Raw genomic sequence first — 14,230 nt, 5'->3', positions numbered from 1 at the left:
TTTCTTAACTGGAGAAGTCCAGGTTCTTTATTTTGATATGGCCTCAGTCTTCATTTCCAGGCTTAATATTAATTTGTCTTACTTTATACTAAAAAATAGTTGTAATAAGTAGAGTAATGGCCCTCAAAGATGGCCACATCCTAATTCTTGGAACCTGTGAGTGTTACCTTACACAGAAAAAAGGACTTTGCAGATGGGATTAAGCTAAGGATCTTGAGATGAGGAGATTGTCCTGGATTTTCTGAGTGGGTCTAGTGAAATCATAAGTGTCCTTATAAGTAAAAGAGGGAAGTAGAAGAGTCAGAGTCAGAAAAGGAGATTGGGGTCAGGTGCGGTGGCTCAAGCCTGTTGGGAGGCTGAGGTGGGCAGATCACTTGAGGTCAGGAGTTCGAGACCAGCCTGGCCAACATGGTGAAACCCTGTCTCTGCCAAAACTACAAAAGAAAAAAAAATTAGCTGGGCATAGTGGCACACGTCTGTGATCCCAGGCCTGGGATCTGGAGGCTGAGGCACAAGAATGCCTACTCTGAAGGCTGAGGCATGAGAATCACTTGAACCCAGGAGGTGGAGGTTGCAGTGTGCTGAGATCATGCTACTGTATTCCAGCCTGGGAAGGGGAGCAAGACTCTATCTCAAAAAAGAAAAAAAATAGAAGATTGGAGGATGGGAGTAAAAGTTGGAGTGATGTGATGGCAGACTTAGAATATGGAGGAAGAGGCCATGAGCCAAGATGTGCAGGTGGCCTCTGAAAGCTGGAAAAGGCGAGGAAACAGATTATCCCCTACAGAAAGAACACTGCCCATTTGACATTCAATTTTAGCACAGTGAGACCCATTGCAGATTTCTGACCTCCAGAGCTGTAAGATAATAAATATGTGTTGCTTTAAGCCACTAAGGTTGTGATAATATGTTACAGCAGCAACAGGAAACTAAAGCAGTGGTGTTCCTCCAGATGCTGTTTCAACAGATAGGCATTTTGAGGGAATGCTAATGAGAAAAATAAAAAAAAAGTTATTCAAAGTCAAATAAAAAACAAATTATTATTTTTAATCAAGTTAAATAAGGCATAATGTACATATTTCATGTGTACAGTTTGATGGGTTTTGGCATATGTATATACCCTTGTAACCTACCATCACAATTATCATATAGAATATGGCCATTACCTAGAGTGTTTCCTTGTGCCCCTTTGCAATCAATCCTCCTATTCCCACCTCCAGCCCCGGGCAACCGATGATTTGCTTTTTGTCACTAGGCAAATTACTTTTAATTACAGAACTTCTAAAGATCTTTAATATGTCAAAAGTATTGCGATGCTCCAAGGGAGGGGCTGCATAGCGGGTTGTTACCCCGGGTTTATTTGATCGTGGCTCCTTTCATCCTGGAGCATCTTACAAGATGAGGGGCTTTCAGAACCCACCTGAGAAATGCTTTCCTGCTCACCTGTCTCAGCTCAGGCAGCTCCCCCTCATCTTAGAGTGCCCATTTTTATACATCAAAAATTTGCTCATCCTTTAAGGCTTTGTGCAAGGATAAGCTCCTCCATGAAGTAGACCTTTTCTTCGGCTAAGTCTCATACTTTTTGCTTTATATTTCTTGCAGCATACAAATTGCATAATGGTTAATATTATAATAATATAATGTTATATTTGCATTAGAGATACATAGTCTTACAGTCTTTTCTGAGAACAAAGAATGACTATTTGCTTAATCATTACATAATTGTCAGGAAATGCTCAAGTGTTCAGTAGGGAGTCAAGATATATTCCAAGTAACTTTCAAGCTTCCTTGGACTTGGGGCTCTCACACACTAAGACATTTTGAAGTTGTGTCTCAGCAACCTGCAACTATGTGAGTTCATGGGCTGGTGGCGAATGACTCCTTTATCTTCCTATTCCTGCATCCAGCCCAACACATCCCTGAGTCCTGTGGGTTTTACTTCAGAACTGTCTCTCCTATCCATGGTTTTCTAGTTCCTCTGCCAATGCCCTTGTCCAGGTTCTTACCATGTCTCACCTGCATTATTTCAACAGCCTCTTAAAAGTCTCCCTGCCTCCAGTCTCATTCCTCCCCCGACCTGTCTTCCACTCTAATGCCAAAATCCTGATCATGGTGCTCTTCTGCTTAAAAACTGCCATTGCTCACAAGATCAAGTCAGAAGGGTTGGGAAAGCAAATGTACCCTGCCCTATAAGGGACCCTTTGCTTCTCAAGCTTCACCTCCTGTTATTCTCTTCTGTGCACTCTCCACTCCATGGCTTCTCACAGGTTTGTGGACACACCATGCCCTTTCAAGGCACCATACTCTTCTTTCAACCTGGGATGCTTTCCCCTTCTCCATCTGGAGAACGACTCTGCTGTAGACTGAATGCTTGTGTTTTCCAAAATTCATATGCTGAAATCCTAACCCCCAAAGTGGGGCCTTTGGGAGGTGATTATGTCACAAGGGCAGGGCTCTCATGAATGGGACTAATGTTCTTATAAAAGGAACCTGAGAGCTCCCTCATCCCTTCTGCCCCATGAGGACACAGTGAGAAAATGACCATCTAAGAACCAAGAAGTGGGTCCTTACCAGGTACTGATCCTGCTGGTGCCTTGATCTTGGACTTTACAGCCTCCAGAATTGTGAGAAATAAATATCTGTTGTTTATAAGCCACTCAGTCGATGGTATTCTGTGATAGCAACCCAAGCTGATTAAGACTCCTAGTCATTGGAAGACCTTTCCAGATATCACTCCTGGGAATCCTTCACTTCATGACACTCCAATAGTATTTGTATACATCTCTTTTGAGTGGCTGTTAAGAAATCACATTATAATGAAAATTTATTGGTTTTGATCCTATCTCCTAAGCTAGAATATGAGTCTTTGCATCCTTGGCACTTAGTGCAGCACTGGCAAAGCGTTTATGACTAATAATGACAAACCCTTAATGAATTTTTATCTGTGCCAGGCATTGCACTAGGTACTTTCATGAATTAGTTTGATGATTTTACTTACTTCTCCCTTAGCCCTATGAGGAAGGTTTTGATGTCTAAATTTTGCAGGAGAGAAAACAGCCTCAGAGAGGTTAAAGAAACATGTAAGGACCTCATGCAAATGACAGGTGGTAGAACTTGTTTTTGAGCCCTAGTTTATGAAATTTGCTTTCTTAATACTTGTTATCAGTATTTCTTGCGTATTAATAAATACTGATAACTAGTATTTGGTATTCAATTAGTATTCATTGAACAAATGAATGAATGCATGAACAAAATCAGTTGTTTGAATGTTTGAAGAGAATATCTTCAAGTAGCAGACTGTGACCGTTCCCTTGGCTCGGAAAAGGGAGAGGAGACTTCTGGGTAGAGGTGACAGAACATGGAAAGCCTGAGGATCTGGGCATGGAGACTTAGAGAAGTGCATATCAGAGTCAGGCTTTGAGCTCATGTAGGTCTCCAGTGCAGGGACTTGGAAGGTTGCCTTCTGGCTTACAGCAACCCCTTCTCCAGGAAAACTCCAACGCAAAGACATTTCTAGTCTGTGGCAGGTTTAAGGAGTCAAGAAGGAGCTCCACGTTCTCTGGGGAAGATCGCCCCTCCCAGGCCTCTATCCTCCCCTGCCGGCAGCCGCGATGTCCAGAGCTCTGGGTCATTTTCTAGCCTCCATGCTACCTTGAACGGAAATGAAGAGGGTGTTCTAGAATTCTTTGTGCTCCTGGCGAGAGCCTTGTTTCTCCTTGAACACTCACAGCTTCCCTAGTTCATGCTTTGGGGCTGTGAGGATCCATCTCCCTGTGCCCTTTATTGCTGTTTACCCCAGCTTGTACACAAAGCGCGGCTTCTCAGGACTGCTCATCTCCTGGATCGCCTTCTCATGCAACTCTGCACAGCCCCTTCCATGAACTGATTGCTCACTGTTCCCTGTCTCCTCAAACCCTTCCACTGTCACTCTGGGACACATGGTTAGCCATGAGCAAAATCTCTTCTTTCCTCAACCATCTTTGAATGTCCTCTTCACCTTCTTCCATCATCATCAAAATGATGGGACATCATTTTCCCTGTAGCCCTGACCTACTATCCTGATTACTAATAGGCCTAGACATGCTCTCTCATGACCCCTATTCTCACTAAAAATGAAGTTTTAAATCATCCCAGTAGTAATTGTCTGCTGACTTCACTCTCCTGACACCTTGAAGATTTTAGCTTCTGCACCACTGGCAGTCTTTCCAAAATTGTTCCTGTTCCAATTTTTGATGATTTCCATATCTGTATAGATAATCCAGGGCCCTCTGATGACCTCACCCATCACCTTACCTCAGCAATGAATCCCCATAGTCAAACCCTAGCGTAACACTGCCCGGTAGAACCTTCTGTGACAATGGAGATGGTCTTTACTTCCACTGTCCAATAGAGTAGCCTCTAGCCATATGGAGCCATTGAATACCCGAAATGCGGCTAGTTCAGTGGAGAACTGGAGTTGTAACTTTCTTTAATTTTAATAAATTTTAAATAGCCTCAGGTGGCTAGTGGCTGCCATAACGAATGGCGCAGCCTGGATCATGGAATGACGGCTAATTGTATCACCTTCACAATCCCAGTTTCAAGAATCCCATTCTCTGTCATCTTCTAACTTTCCAGTTTAATTCTTCCAGTTCCCTGACCTCGATGTTTGCTTGACTTTACTGGGACCTGCCATCCAATGATCCTGTTATGTATTCATCGTCCCTTATTTTGTTTGAGCCCTCATGTCTTTTTAAAATCTAGCCTTAATTCCATGATCTTTCATTATAAATGACTTCCTTGCATGCATCCTCAACACATTTTCCCCCATCTTACTTCATTGTAGGTGCCTGGCAAAACCTCAACCATTGTTAAATCCAACTCTCCTCTCTTTCCCCATCTCCAGACTTGAAAGTGAACATGGCTGGAGAAAAACAAAGGGATGTTGACATATCACAAAGGTGGACTCAAGGCTGCCCAACAAGCACACATTTTGGTAGTTGTTCCCTCTTCTAGACAGCTATTTCAAACCTTATCTTCTCTTCCCGTACTTTTAATAACCATCCTCTCCTCTCCCTCAATGGATAAACTAGATTCCTATTTCAGGGAAATATCTCAAACAATAGAGGAGACTTCCAGGTGCTCCCACCACTTTATCCATCAGCTTACTCACATTTGGAAACATAGGCTTTGCTTTCTCTCACATGATAATGGTCAAACTCTCCATGCTCCTCTTCTGGGCTGGCCTCTCCTCTTGTGTGCTGCATCTCATCCTTTTCCACCTGTCAAGAACTTCACTGGCAATTCTGTCTTCTCCTTCAAGCAATCCTCAATGGATCCTTCTCCCCAACATATAGACATGCTATAATTTCTCCTCCTCAGGGCTTTGGTTTTGCTATTCCCTTTACCTGTCATGCTGTTCCAAGAAATATCCACATAGCTTGTCTCTTCACTTCCTTTGAGTCTCTGTATCAATATCAACTCCTAACTATATTATTTAAAATTGCAAAATTTCCCTCCTCCCTGTCCCATTTCATTTTTCTTCATAGGAGCTTCCAACATCTGAGAATCTATATACTCTGTTTTATTTATTCATTTGATCCTCAAGGGGAGGGGTCTTTCATTTTCATTCTTTTTTTTTTTTTTTTTTTTTTTTTTTTTTTTTGAGACGGAGTCTCGCTCTGTCGCCCAGGCCGGACTGCGGACTGCAGTGGCGCAATCTCGGCTCACTGCAAGCTCCGCTTCCCGGGTTCACGCCATTCTCCTGCCTCAGCCTCCCGAGTAGCTGGGACTACAGGCGCCCGCCACCGCGCCCGGCTAATTTTTTGTATTTTTAGTAGAGACGGGGTTTCACCTTGTTAGCCAGGATGGTCTCGATCTCCTGACCTCATGATCCACCCACCTCGGCCTCCCAAAGTGCTGGGATTACAGGCGTGAGCCACCGCGCCCGGCCCTTTCATTTTCATTCTTATTGTTGTACCCCCAGCACCTAGAATACTATCTGGCACATAGTAGGCCCTCAATGAATGTTTGTTGAAAGAACCATTCAGTGACTTCCCTTTTCTGATATTCCTTATGGTTTGCTGCAATGGTGTGATTTTTCCAAAGGAACAGCTATTCCAAATGATATTACTACCCACTGCTCTTATTCAGAAGTTCTTAGTGCAATGCTCCTCACACTTCAATGTGCATTTGAATCACCTAGGGATTTTGTTATAGGCAGATTATGATTTAGCAGTGCTGGGGTGGGGCCTGAGATTCTGCATTTCTGACAAGCTCCCAGGTGATTCAGATGCTGTTGATTCAGAATGAGTTTTGAATAGCAAGTCCGCTTTGGTCATCTTAAGCCTCATTCGTCTTCTCCTTTTTTTTTTTTAAATAGAGTGAGAATAAATATTTACATAGAACATTTACATATTTTCAGTGTCAACATGACCCTGAGTTCAAGTAATTGTGTGGTAAGTGCTTCTATATCTGCAGGTTACAACATTTGCATGGAGAGCCTCATCCATCACTGTATGTGCCATGGAGGAACTGTTGTCTAGTTAGGCTGTTAAATGATGACTGTCCATTTGTTCTGGGCAGAATTAGGTTTTCTGTGCATGTGTGTATATGTGTGTAAGAACATGACTGTTGATGCTAATAAGTTTCCTAGCAATTGCCTGATGCAATTAGCCATGTTTTGGCATGAAATCAATGCAAAGGCAAGTTTTGCCTTTTTTTCAGATAATTGTTATATCACTCTGCTTTTGTTTAGAGAACAGTGTGGGGTGATCGTCACTGTCATCAATTTGTTTAAAAATCATAGTCAGGGCCTCCCCGTAGAGTTTGTTTGGTTTGTGTGTGCCACAAAAAAGTCCAGTTGGGCCAACAAGACCCCAAACTAGCGAGCACCCCTTTGCCAAGACAAGTGCTCTGGTTGGGGTTGCATTGCCTTTTTCATCTAGCAAACGGAATGAAAGTACCTGATGTTTGATGGCCTTGATCATAAAGCTAGAGAGAGCTACAAAGGAAAATAGAGAGCACTGAACACAATATTTTCATTTTAGGGATGTTAAGGCACTGAGGGCCAGAGCACTTGTTCTCATCAGCATCATCATCAGCCTCAGCATCATTGTCACCGTAATCAGCATCATTGGCATCAGCATCATCAGCATCACCACCCTCATCATCATCAGTAGCATCAATATCACTATCATCAGCATTAGCATCAGCATCATCAGCAGCATCAGCACCATCAGCATCATCGTCATCAGGATCATCAGCATCATCAGCAGCATCACCACCATTATCAGCATCAGGATCACCATCTAACATTTTTTGAGGGCTTCAAATGCACAAGGCACTGGGCTGATTTCTTTACATGCATTGTCTCACTTGTTTCCAACAATGACAGCCCCCAAAGTTAAGTATTATTATTGTTAATATCCTCATTTACAGATATATAAACTGAAACTTAGAGAGATTAAGCAACTTGCTTAGGGCCACAGAGCTATGTTAAGTGTAATTTTCAAAAATGTAAATCACAATTCTCAGGAAAATATAAAATGATACCATGTCAAAGATTTTATTTAACTCAATAACCAATGAGAGAACCAATAAGAAGTTTAAACTTATTCAAAGAGCATTAGAGAATTTAGATATATGCAGGCAATTTAACAACAAAAAAATAAGGCGAGTATGATAGGCTAAATAATGTTCCCTCTGGAAAAAAATCAATCCTGATCCCTGGAATTTCTGAATATGTTACTTATGTTACTTTATAAATAGAAAGGACTTTACAGATGTGATTAAATTATGGGTTTTGAGATGGGGAGATTATTCTGGATTATCTGGGTAGGTCCAATGTAATCACATGCATTCTTATAGGAGGGAGACAGGAGTGTCAGCTGAGAGAGAAGACATAAGAACGAAAGCGGAGGTTGGAGTGATGTGCTTTGAAGACGGAGGAAGAGGCCATAAGCCAAGGAATGTAGGTTATCCCTAGAAGCTGGAAAAGACAAGAAAACAAATCCTTTTCTAGAGCCTCCAGAAGAAAAGGGCTCTGCTTACACCTTGATTTTAGCCCAGTGAAACAGATTTTGAACTTCTGACATCTAGTACTGTAAGATAATACATTTGCATGATTTTTACACCCTAAAATGTGTTACATTGTTATATCAGCAGTAGAAATTTAATACCAAAAGATTACTGGGTGAGATAGAAAGCTAGTTAATGTCCAACAGGGCTATCAACTATAACCCTTGGAGCTAATTCTTCTACCAGAGTTAAATTATTTGCTTCTCTGCGGGACCAAAATTTACAAGTAAACCTCTGCCGTTATGGAGATGAAAATTGACTAGTCAGTAGAAATCCCAGTTCTGCACTGGCAGATCACTCAATAATCTCTTCTGCACGTTTCCAAGTTTAGAATACTCTTTTGGACAGTTAGGAAGTCGAAGCACTGAGATTTGAACCAGGCTCTTCTAAGTCCAGAATCTGTGCTCTTAATCACTAAGGAACATATTTTTTTATTAGCATTATTTCATAGACTAGCAGGACAATCAGTGGCAAAAAAAATTGTCCATGGAAACTGAGAACACAGCTTAAAGATTGCCAGGTTTGGGCGTGGTGGCTCACACCTTTAATTCCAGTGTTTTGGGAGGCTGAGGCGGGAGGATTGCTTGAGGCTAGGAGTTCAAGAGCAGCCTGGGCAACAGGGTGAGACCTCCATCTTTACAACAAAAAAAAAATAGCCAAGTGTGATGGTGTGGACCTGTGGTCCTAGCTACTCAGGAGGTGGAGGTGGGAGGATTTTGTGAGCCCAAGTGTTCAAGGTTATAGTGAGCTATGGTTGCACTCTAGCCTGGGTGACAGAGAAAGACCCTGTCTCTAAAGAAAAATAAAAAAAAAAAGAGTGCCAGTTTGATTCACCAACTCCTTCATGGTGCTTCCCCCAAACAGAGGACCACAGAAAGAACCTTCTCCCTCCATAACATGGAAATTCCTACACTAGCTCTCTGAAAACTTAGAGCCAAGCTTTCAGTAGGTGGTTCCTGGTTGGAGTAACTTGAAGGCTGGGGTGGGAAACTAAAATACACCTCCCCACAACTGTTCCCTTCCCTGCTCAAGAGTAAATGGTCTTGACAAGCCCTTCTTTAAAACTGTGTTACTTGGTTAGACATCAAAACACTTTGCCTAGTAAATGCTTGAAAAAGGTTTGCATTGCATTTGGTTTGGTGGAAGGGCAAAGTAGACTTTGGGAGTGAGAAAAGTCAGGAGGGACAAATGAGTGAGTTGTATCAGGAACTAGCATGGCATTCTTAAGAGTCATGCGGGCTGGGTGCAGTGGCTCACGCCTGTAATCCCAGCATTTTGGGAAGCCGAGGTGGGCAGATCACGAGGTCAAGAGATAGAGACCATCCTGGCCAACATGGTGAAACCCCGTCTCTACTAAAAATACAAAAATTAGCCAGGTGTGGTGGCACATGCCTGTAATCCCAGCTACTCAGGAGGCTGAGGCAGGAGAATCGCTTGAACCCAGGAAGCGGAGCTTGCAGTGAGCCGAGATTGTGCCATTGCACTACAGTCTGGGCGACAGAGTGAGATTCTGTCTCAAAAAAAAAAAAAGAGTCATGGGTTGAAGCGTCCCACTGCAGTTGGGAACCTTTATGGGAAAGTGGGGTCTCTGATTAGACAGGTGGAATGTGGCCAGAGTCTTGAATGGGGGCTGGGCAGTGTAGGTTTACCTTATAGGGCAATCATTCTTGAAGCCGAACATTAGAATAAACTGGCAAGAGTTAAGAAATATGAATGCAACCCTGTATTCATCTACTGAGGCTGCCATAACAAAATACCACAGAATCGGTGACTTAAGCAACAGAAATTAATTTTCTAACAATGCTGGAGGCTAGAGATCAAAGTGTTGGCAGTGTTGGTTTCTCCTGAGGCCTCTTTCCTTGATTTGTAGATGGCCATCCTCTCCCTGTGTCTTCAGATGGTCTTTCCTTTGTTACTGTCCATGTCTGAATATTCTTTTCTTATAAGCCTTCCCCTATTGCCCCAATTCTTCCCATTAGGAACCTCACCAGCACCACAGGACCCACCACCACCATCACAAGCCTTATCATCACCCCTGCCTTCTCTATCCCTGCAGCAGTCCGGGGATAGACACAGGGAGAGGACAGCCATCTTACCAGCCGAGGAAGGAAGCCTCAGAGAAACCAACACTGCCAACACTCGGATCTCTGGCCTCCAGGATTGTGACCGCACCCACCACAGTTATCACAGGGGCAGCTATAATGGCAGCAGCTGCAGCAGCAGTGAGCCCCATGCCAATAGAGAGACATAGGCAGTCACACCCATTGTAGAACTGATCACTTAGGCCAAGTTATTAATTTTGTACTGGAGGAAACTGAAGTCCAGAGAGGTCAACTGACTTATTCAAGCCTATGGAGCTCTTAAATAGAAAACTAAGTCCAAAGATCCTATTTTTTGGCCTCACATTTTCTTTCTTTCTACTGGTCCACATGACTTCATCCCAGCCCATCAGCCCTGGAGGCTGGGCTAAGGACAGCCCCACTATTTGAGCCTGCTCTTCCTTCCTATCAGGAGCAAACCATCATGAAAATCAGCCCCATTAAACTCTGATTGTCTGTGTCTGGGCCATGTGTTTCCCTTGTCAAGGGGTTGAAATGCTTTGATTTAAGGGTAGGCAGGATACTTCTTTTAATGTTTTTAGTTAGGACTTGGTCAGCAAACAGGAACAAACCTGATCAAATGTGGCATAAGCAAACTGCAAACTCGGCTCATGTAACAAGACCAAGGCAGCCCTGGCTGCAGGCATAGCAAGATTCAGGGCTCACATGATGCAATCACGTGTCTCTCCTTTCTGCTTGCTTTGCAATCTGTTGACTCCAGTCTCAGACTCCATTTGGTAGCGAGATGGCAGCTTCAGTTTGTGAATTCTCTGGTGCAGCAGGAAAGAGGTAGCCTGTTTCTCAATAACATAAACGAAAGTCATGGAATTAATTAATGCAAAAATATTTATTGAGGTCCTAGTATGCACCAGACATTCTTCTACATGCTCGGGATACTGAAGTGGACAGAGAGAAGAGGTTCCTGTCATCATGGAGCTTACTTGAGTCTTCTTGGGCTCTGACATGACTGTTTTTGGCCATGTGTAATCTGTGAGCCAATCACTGTAGCCACGAGTACGCGATGTGCTGGGTCATGTGCCCCACTTAAAGAATGCAAGCCTCAGGCCAGGCGTGGTGGCTCACGCCTGTAATCCCAGCATTTTGGGAAGCCGAGGTAGGCGGATTGCCTGAGGTCAGGAGTTTGAGACCAGACTGGCCAACATGGTGAAACCCTGTCTCTACTAAAAATACAAACATTAGCCAGGCATGGTGCTGGGTGCCTGTGATCCCAGCTACTCAGGAGGCTGAGGCAGAAGAATCGCTTGAATCCAGGAGGCGGATGTTGCAGTGAACCAAGACGATGCCACTGCGCTTCAGCCTGGGCATTCTTTCAAAAACAGAATGCAGGTCTCTTTTTGAGTGCCAGGACTATGTCATAGTTATGTTTGTGATGTGTCCACAAAGCATAACCCAAGGGCTGTCCATAATAAGCACATGAGAAGTGACATCAAACGAGTGAACAACTGAGTAAATAAACCACAGAGAGAGAAAGTTCATGAAAGGCAAATGTGTAAAAACACACGAAAAGGGGACAAATCCAAGTAAATCGAACAACGAAATGCTAGCTCTCAGTTGCCAATCCAAAAAGAGACATAATATTCACTATAGATGTCTTGCTAAAAATATTTGCCCAGTGTGTTTCATATCAGGCCAAGAAAATCCTGCTCATTATTCAGAGAAACATTAGACACAAAATCTGAAGTTGCAGTTCATTTCAGAGTTGTCCCTGGGGGGTGTCAACAAACCGGGGTCACTCTGGACCTCACACTTTGAGGAGCAAGTGAAAGAAGAAATGAAGACAGCTCACAGCTGGCAGCTAAAATATGTCGATGTCATTATGTAAATATCTGCCACCCACAGCCCTCCATGGTCTCTCTTGCAGCCTGCTGTGGGCACCTGGGAAACACTTCTCCCTGTTGTCTGGTGTTCTTGGACATAGCCTCTTAGTTCCTTTGATGTTCTGCCCTTGATGTTCATTTTATGCAGCTTTCAACTGGTAAAAAAGTTTAAGGCAAGGAAAAAGTCTGGAAGAAAATTTATAGCTCCTAAATTGTTAACATGTAAAAGAGCCATTCGTTGGTCCTAAATCCTAAAAGCGTGGCTCTGTATATCTTGTATAAAACCTATGTGGGTTGGCACTTGGAGGGATGTATGCAATTTTAGTCATTACACTGCTTAAGGAAGGACCTATAAAGGACACGTAGAAAGAGGCAAACTAAATTATTAAGAGGAACCTACATTTGAGCATGAGCTCAAAGGAGGTGGACTCCAGCATGGAGAGACCAAAGCTCTAAGAAGAAATAAGTACATGCTATGAATTCATGAAGGGCATAGAAAAGATGCCTGTAAACAAACTTATTCACCAAATTTCAATAGAATCAAATAAGAGGGGCAACCATGGGGTTTCAAAAGGGTCAAAATTGTACAAATATTAAGTGTAAGTGGCTTTAAACGATGGTGGCAAACATGAAATTTAAACTAATTTTTATGTTTTAGAGACACAGTCTTGGACTTAATAAAAAGAGCTTTAAAAGGTATATTGGGGACAATTGGTAAAATTTACAGGTAAGTCACATATTAAATGGCACCATTTAACCGAATAAATGTTAGCTTTCTTAGGTATGATGGTGGTGTGCTTATTTAGGAGAATGTCCATATTCATTCAAGATGCACGGTGAAATGTTGGGGGAAACATGGCTGGATTTTGCAGCTGACTTTCAAATGAATTAGAAAAAACATCTATAAATATATGAGAGAATGACAGAGCAATTGTAGCACAATACAGTCATGTGCTGCATAATGACATTTCAGTTAACAATGGATTGCCTATCTCGACGGTGGTCTCATAAGATTATAATGGAGCAGAAAAGTTTCTATTGTCCAGTATTATGCTATGCTATGCTATGCTATGCTATGCTATGCTATGCTATGCTATGCTATACCATACCATACTATACTATACTATACTTTATTTATTTATTTATTTTTTGGAGACAAAATTTCGCTCTTGTTGCCCAGGCACGATTCTGGCTCACTGCAACCTTCAACTCCCCGGTTCAAGCGATTCTTCTGCCTCAGCTTCCAGAGTAGCTGAGATTATAGGCGTGCACCACCACACCCAGCTAATTTTTGTGTTTTTAGTAGAGACGGGGTTTCACCATGTTGGCCAGGCTTGTCTCGTTTATCTATTTATTTTTGAGACAGGGTCTTTCTCTGTTGCCCAGTCTGGAGTGCAGTGGCATGATCGTGACTCACTGTAACCTCAAACTCCTGGGCTCAAGGAATCCTCCCGTCTCAGCCTCCCAAGTAGCTGGGACTTCAGGTGTGTACCATCACACTTGGCTAATTAAAATGATTTTTTTTTTGTACAGACAGGGGTCTTACTATGTTGCTAGGCTCATCTTGAACTCCAGGCCTCAAATAATCCTCCCACCTCAGCTTCTCAGAGTCCTAGAATTAGCACTCTGAGTACCTAGCATGGAATTTATTACCTTTAGAAGTAGCACTGTTTGAAAATATAAAGTCCTTTAAGAATTTGGATATGTTCATGAGTGATGGGTCAAGAGTGATGGGTCAGATATGTTCGTGAGTGATGGGTCAGAGACTTGAAGATGCTTTTGATACTGCCCTACCCACAGAGAACAATCACACCCACCCTTGACGCATCTATTGGAGACCGAGTGTTAGACAAGAGTCCAGATGGCTCACAGGCAGGTCTAGGACAGGTCTCAGCAATGTTTTGAGAATAAAACAAGGAAGATCTGCTGAATGTTTAAGTTTTTTTTTTTTGAGAGGGATAGCCTTTAATATCATAAATGGATAATTAAGGGAATAAATGAAGGAATGAGTAGATGATAATGAGTAGGAGGCTTTTGGTAACTTTTTTTTTTTTTTTTTTTGAGACGGAGTCTCGCTCTGTCGCCAGGCTGGAGTGCAGTGGCGTGATCTCGGCTCACTGCAACCTCCACCTCCCGGGTTCAAGCGATTCTCCTGCCTCAGCCTCCTGAGTAGCTGGGACTACAGGCACGTGCCACCACACCCAGCTAATTTTTGTATTTTTGGTAGAAACGGGG

General features: G+C 42.8%; 1 long non-coding RNA gene across 1 annotated transcript in view; it reads left to right on the top strand.

The window, feature by feature from the left end:
• LOC107986904 (uncharacterized) overlaps window positions 1–10,617 on the top strand; it is a 34,186-nt gene extending 23,569 nt beyond the window's left edge. The window contains exons 2-3 of the long non-coding RNA XR_001745738.3: window positions 7,029–7,951; window positions 10,038–10,617. This is a non-coding gene — a long non-coding RNA (uncharacterized LOC107986904). The remainder of the gene's footprint in view (window positions 1–7,028; window positions 7,952–10,037) is intronic.
• The last annotated feature ends 3,613 nt before the right edge of the window (window positions 10,618–14,230 follow it).

This window comes from Homo sapiens, chromosome 8, assembly GCF_000001405.40.
Source record: "Homo sapiens chromosome 8, GRCh38.p14 Primary Assembly".
In the NCBI taxonomy this organism is placed as follows: Eukaryota; Metazoa; Chordata; class Mammalia; order Primates; family Hominidae; genus Homo; species Homo sapiens.
The sequence above is the reverse complement of the archived record's forward strand: the minus strand, read 5'-3'. Positions and strand labels throughout refer to the sequence as shown.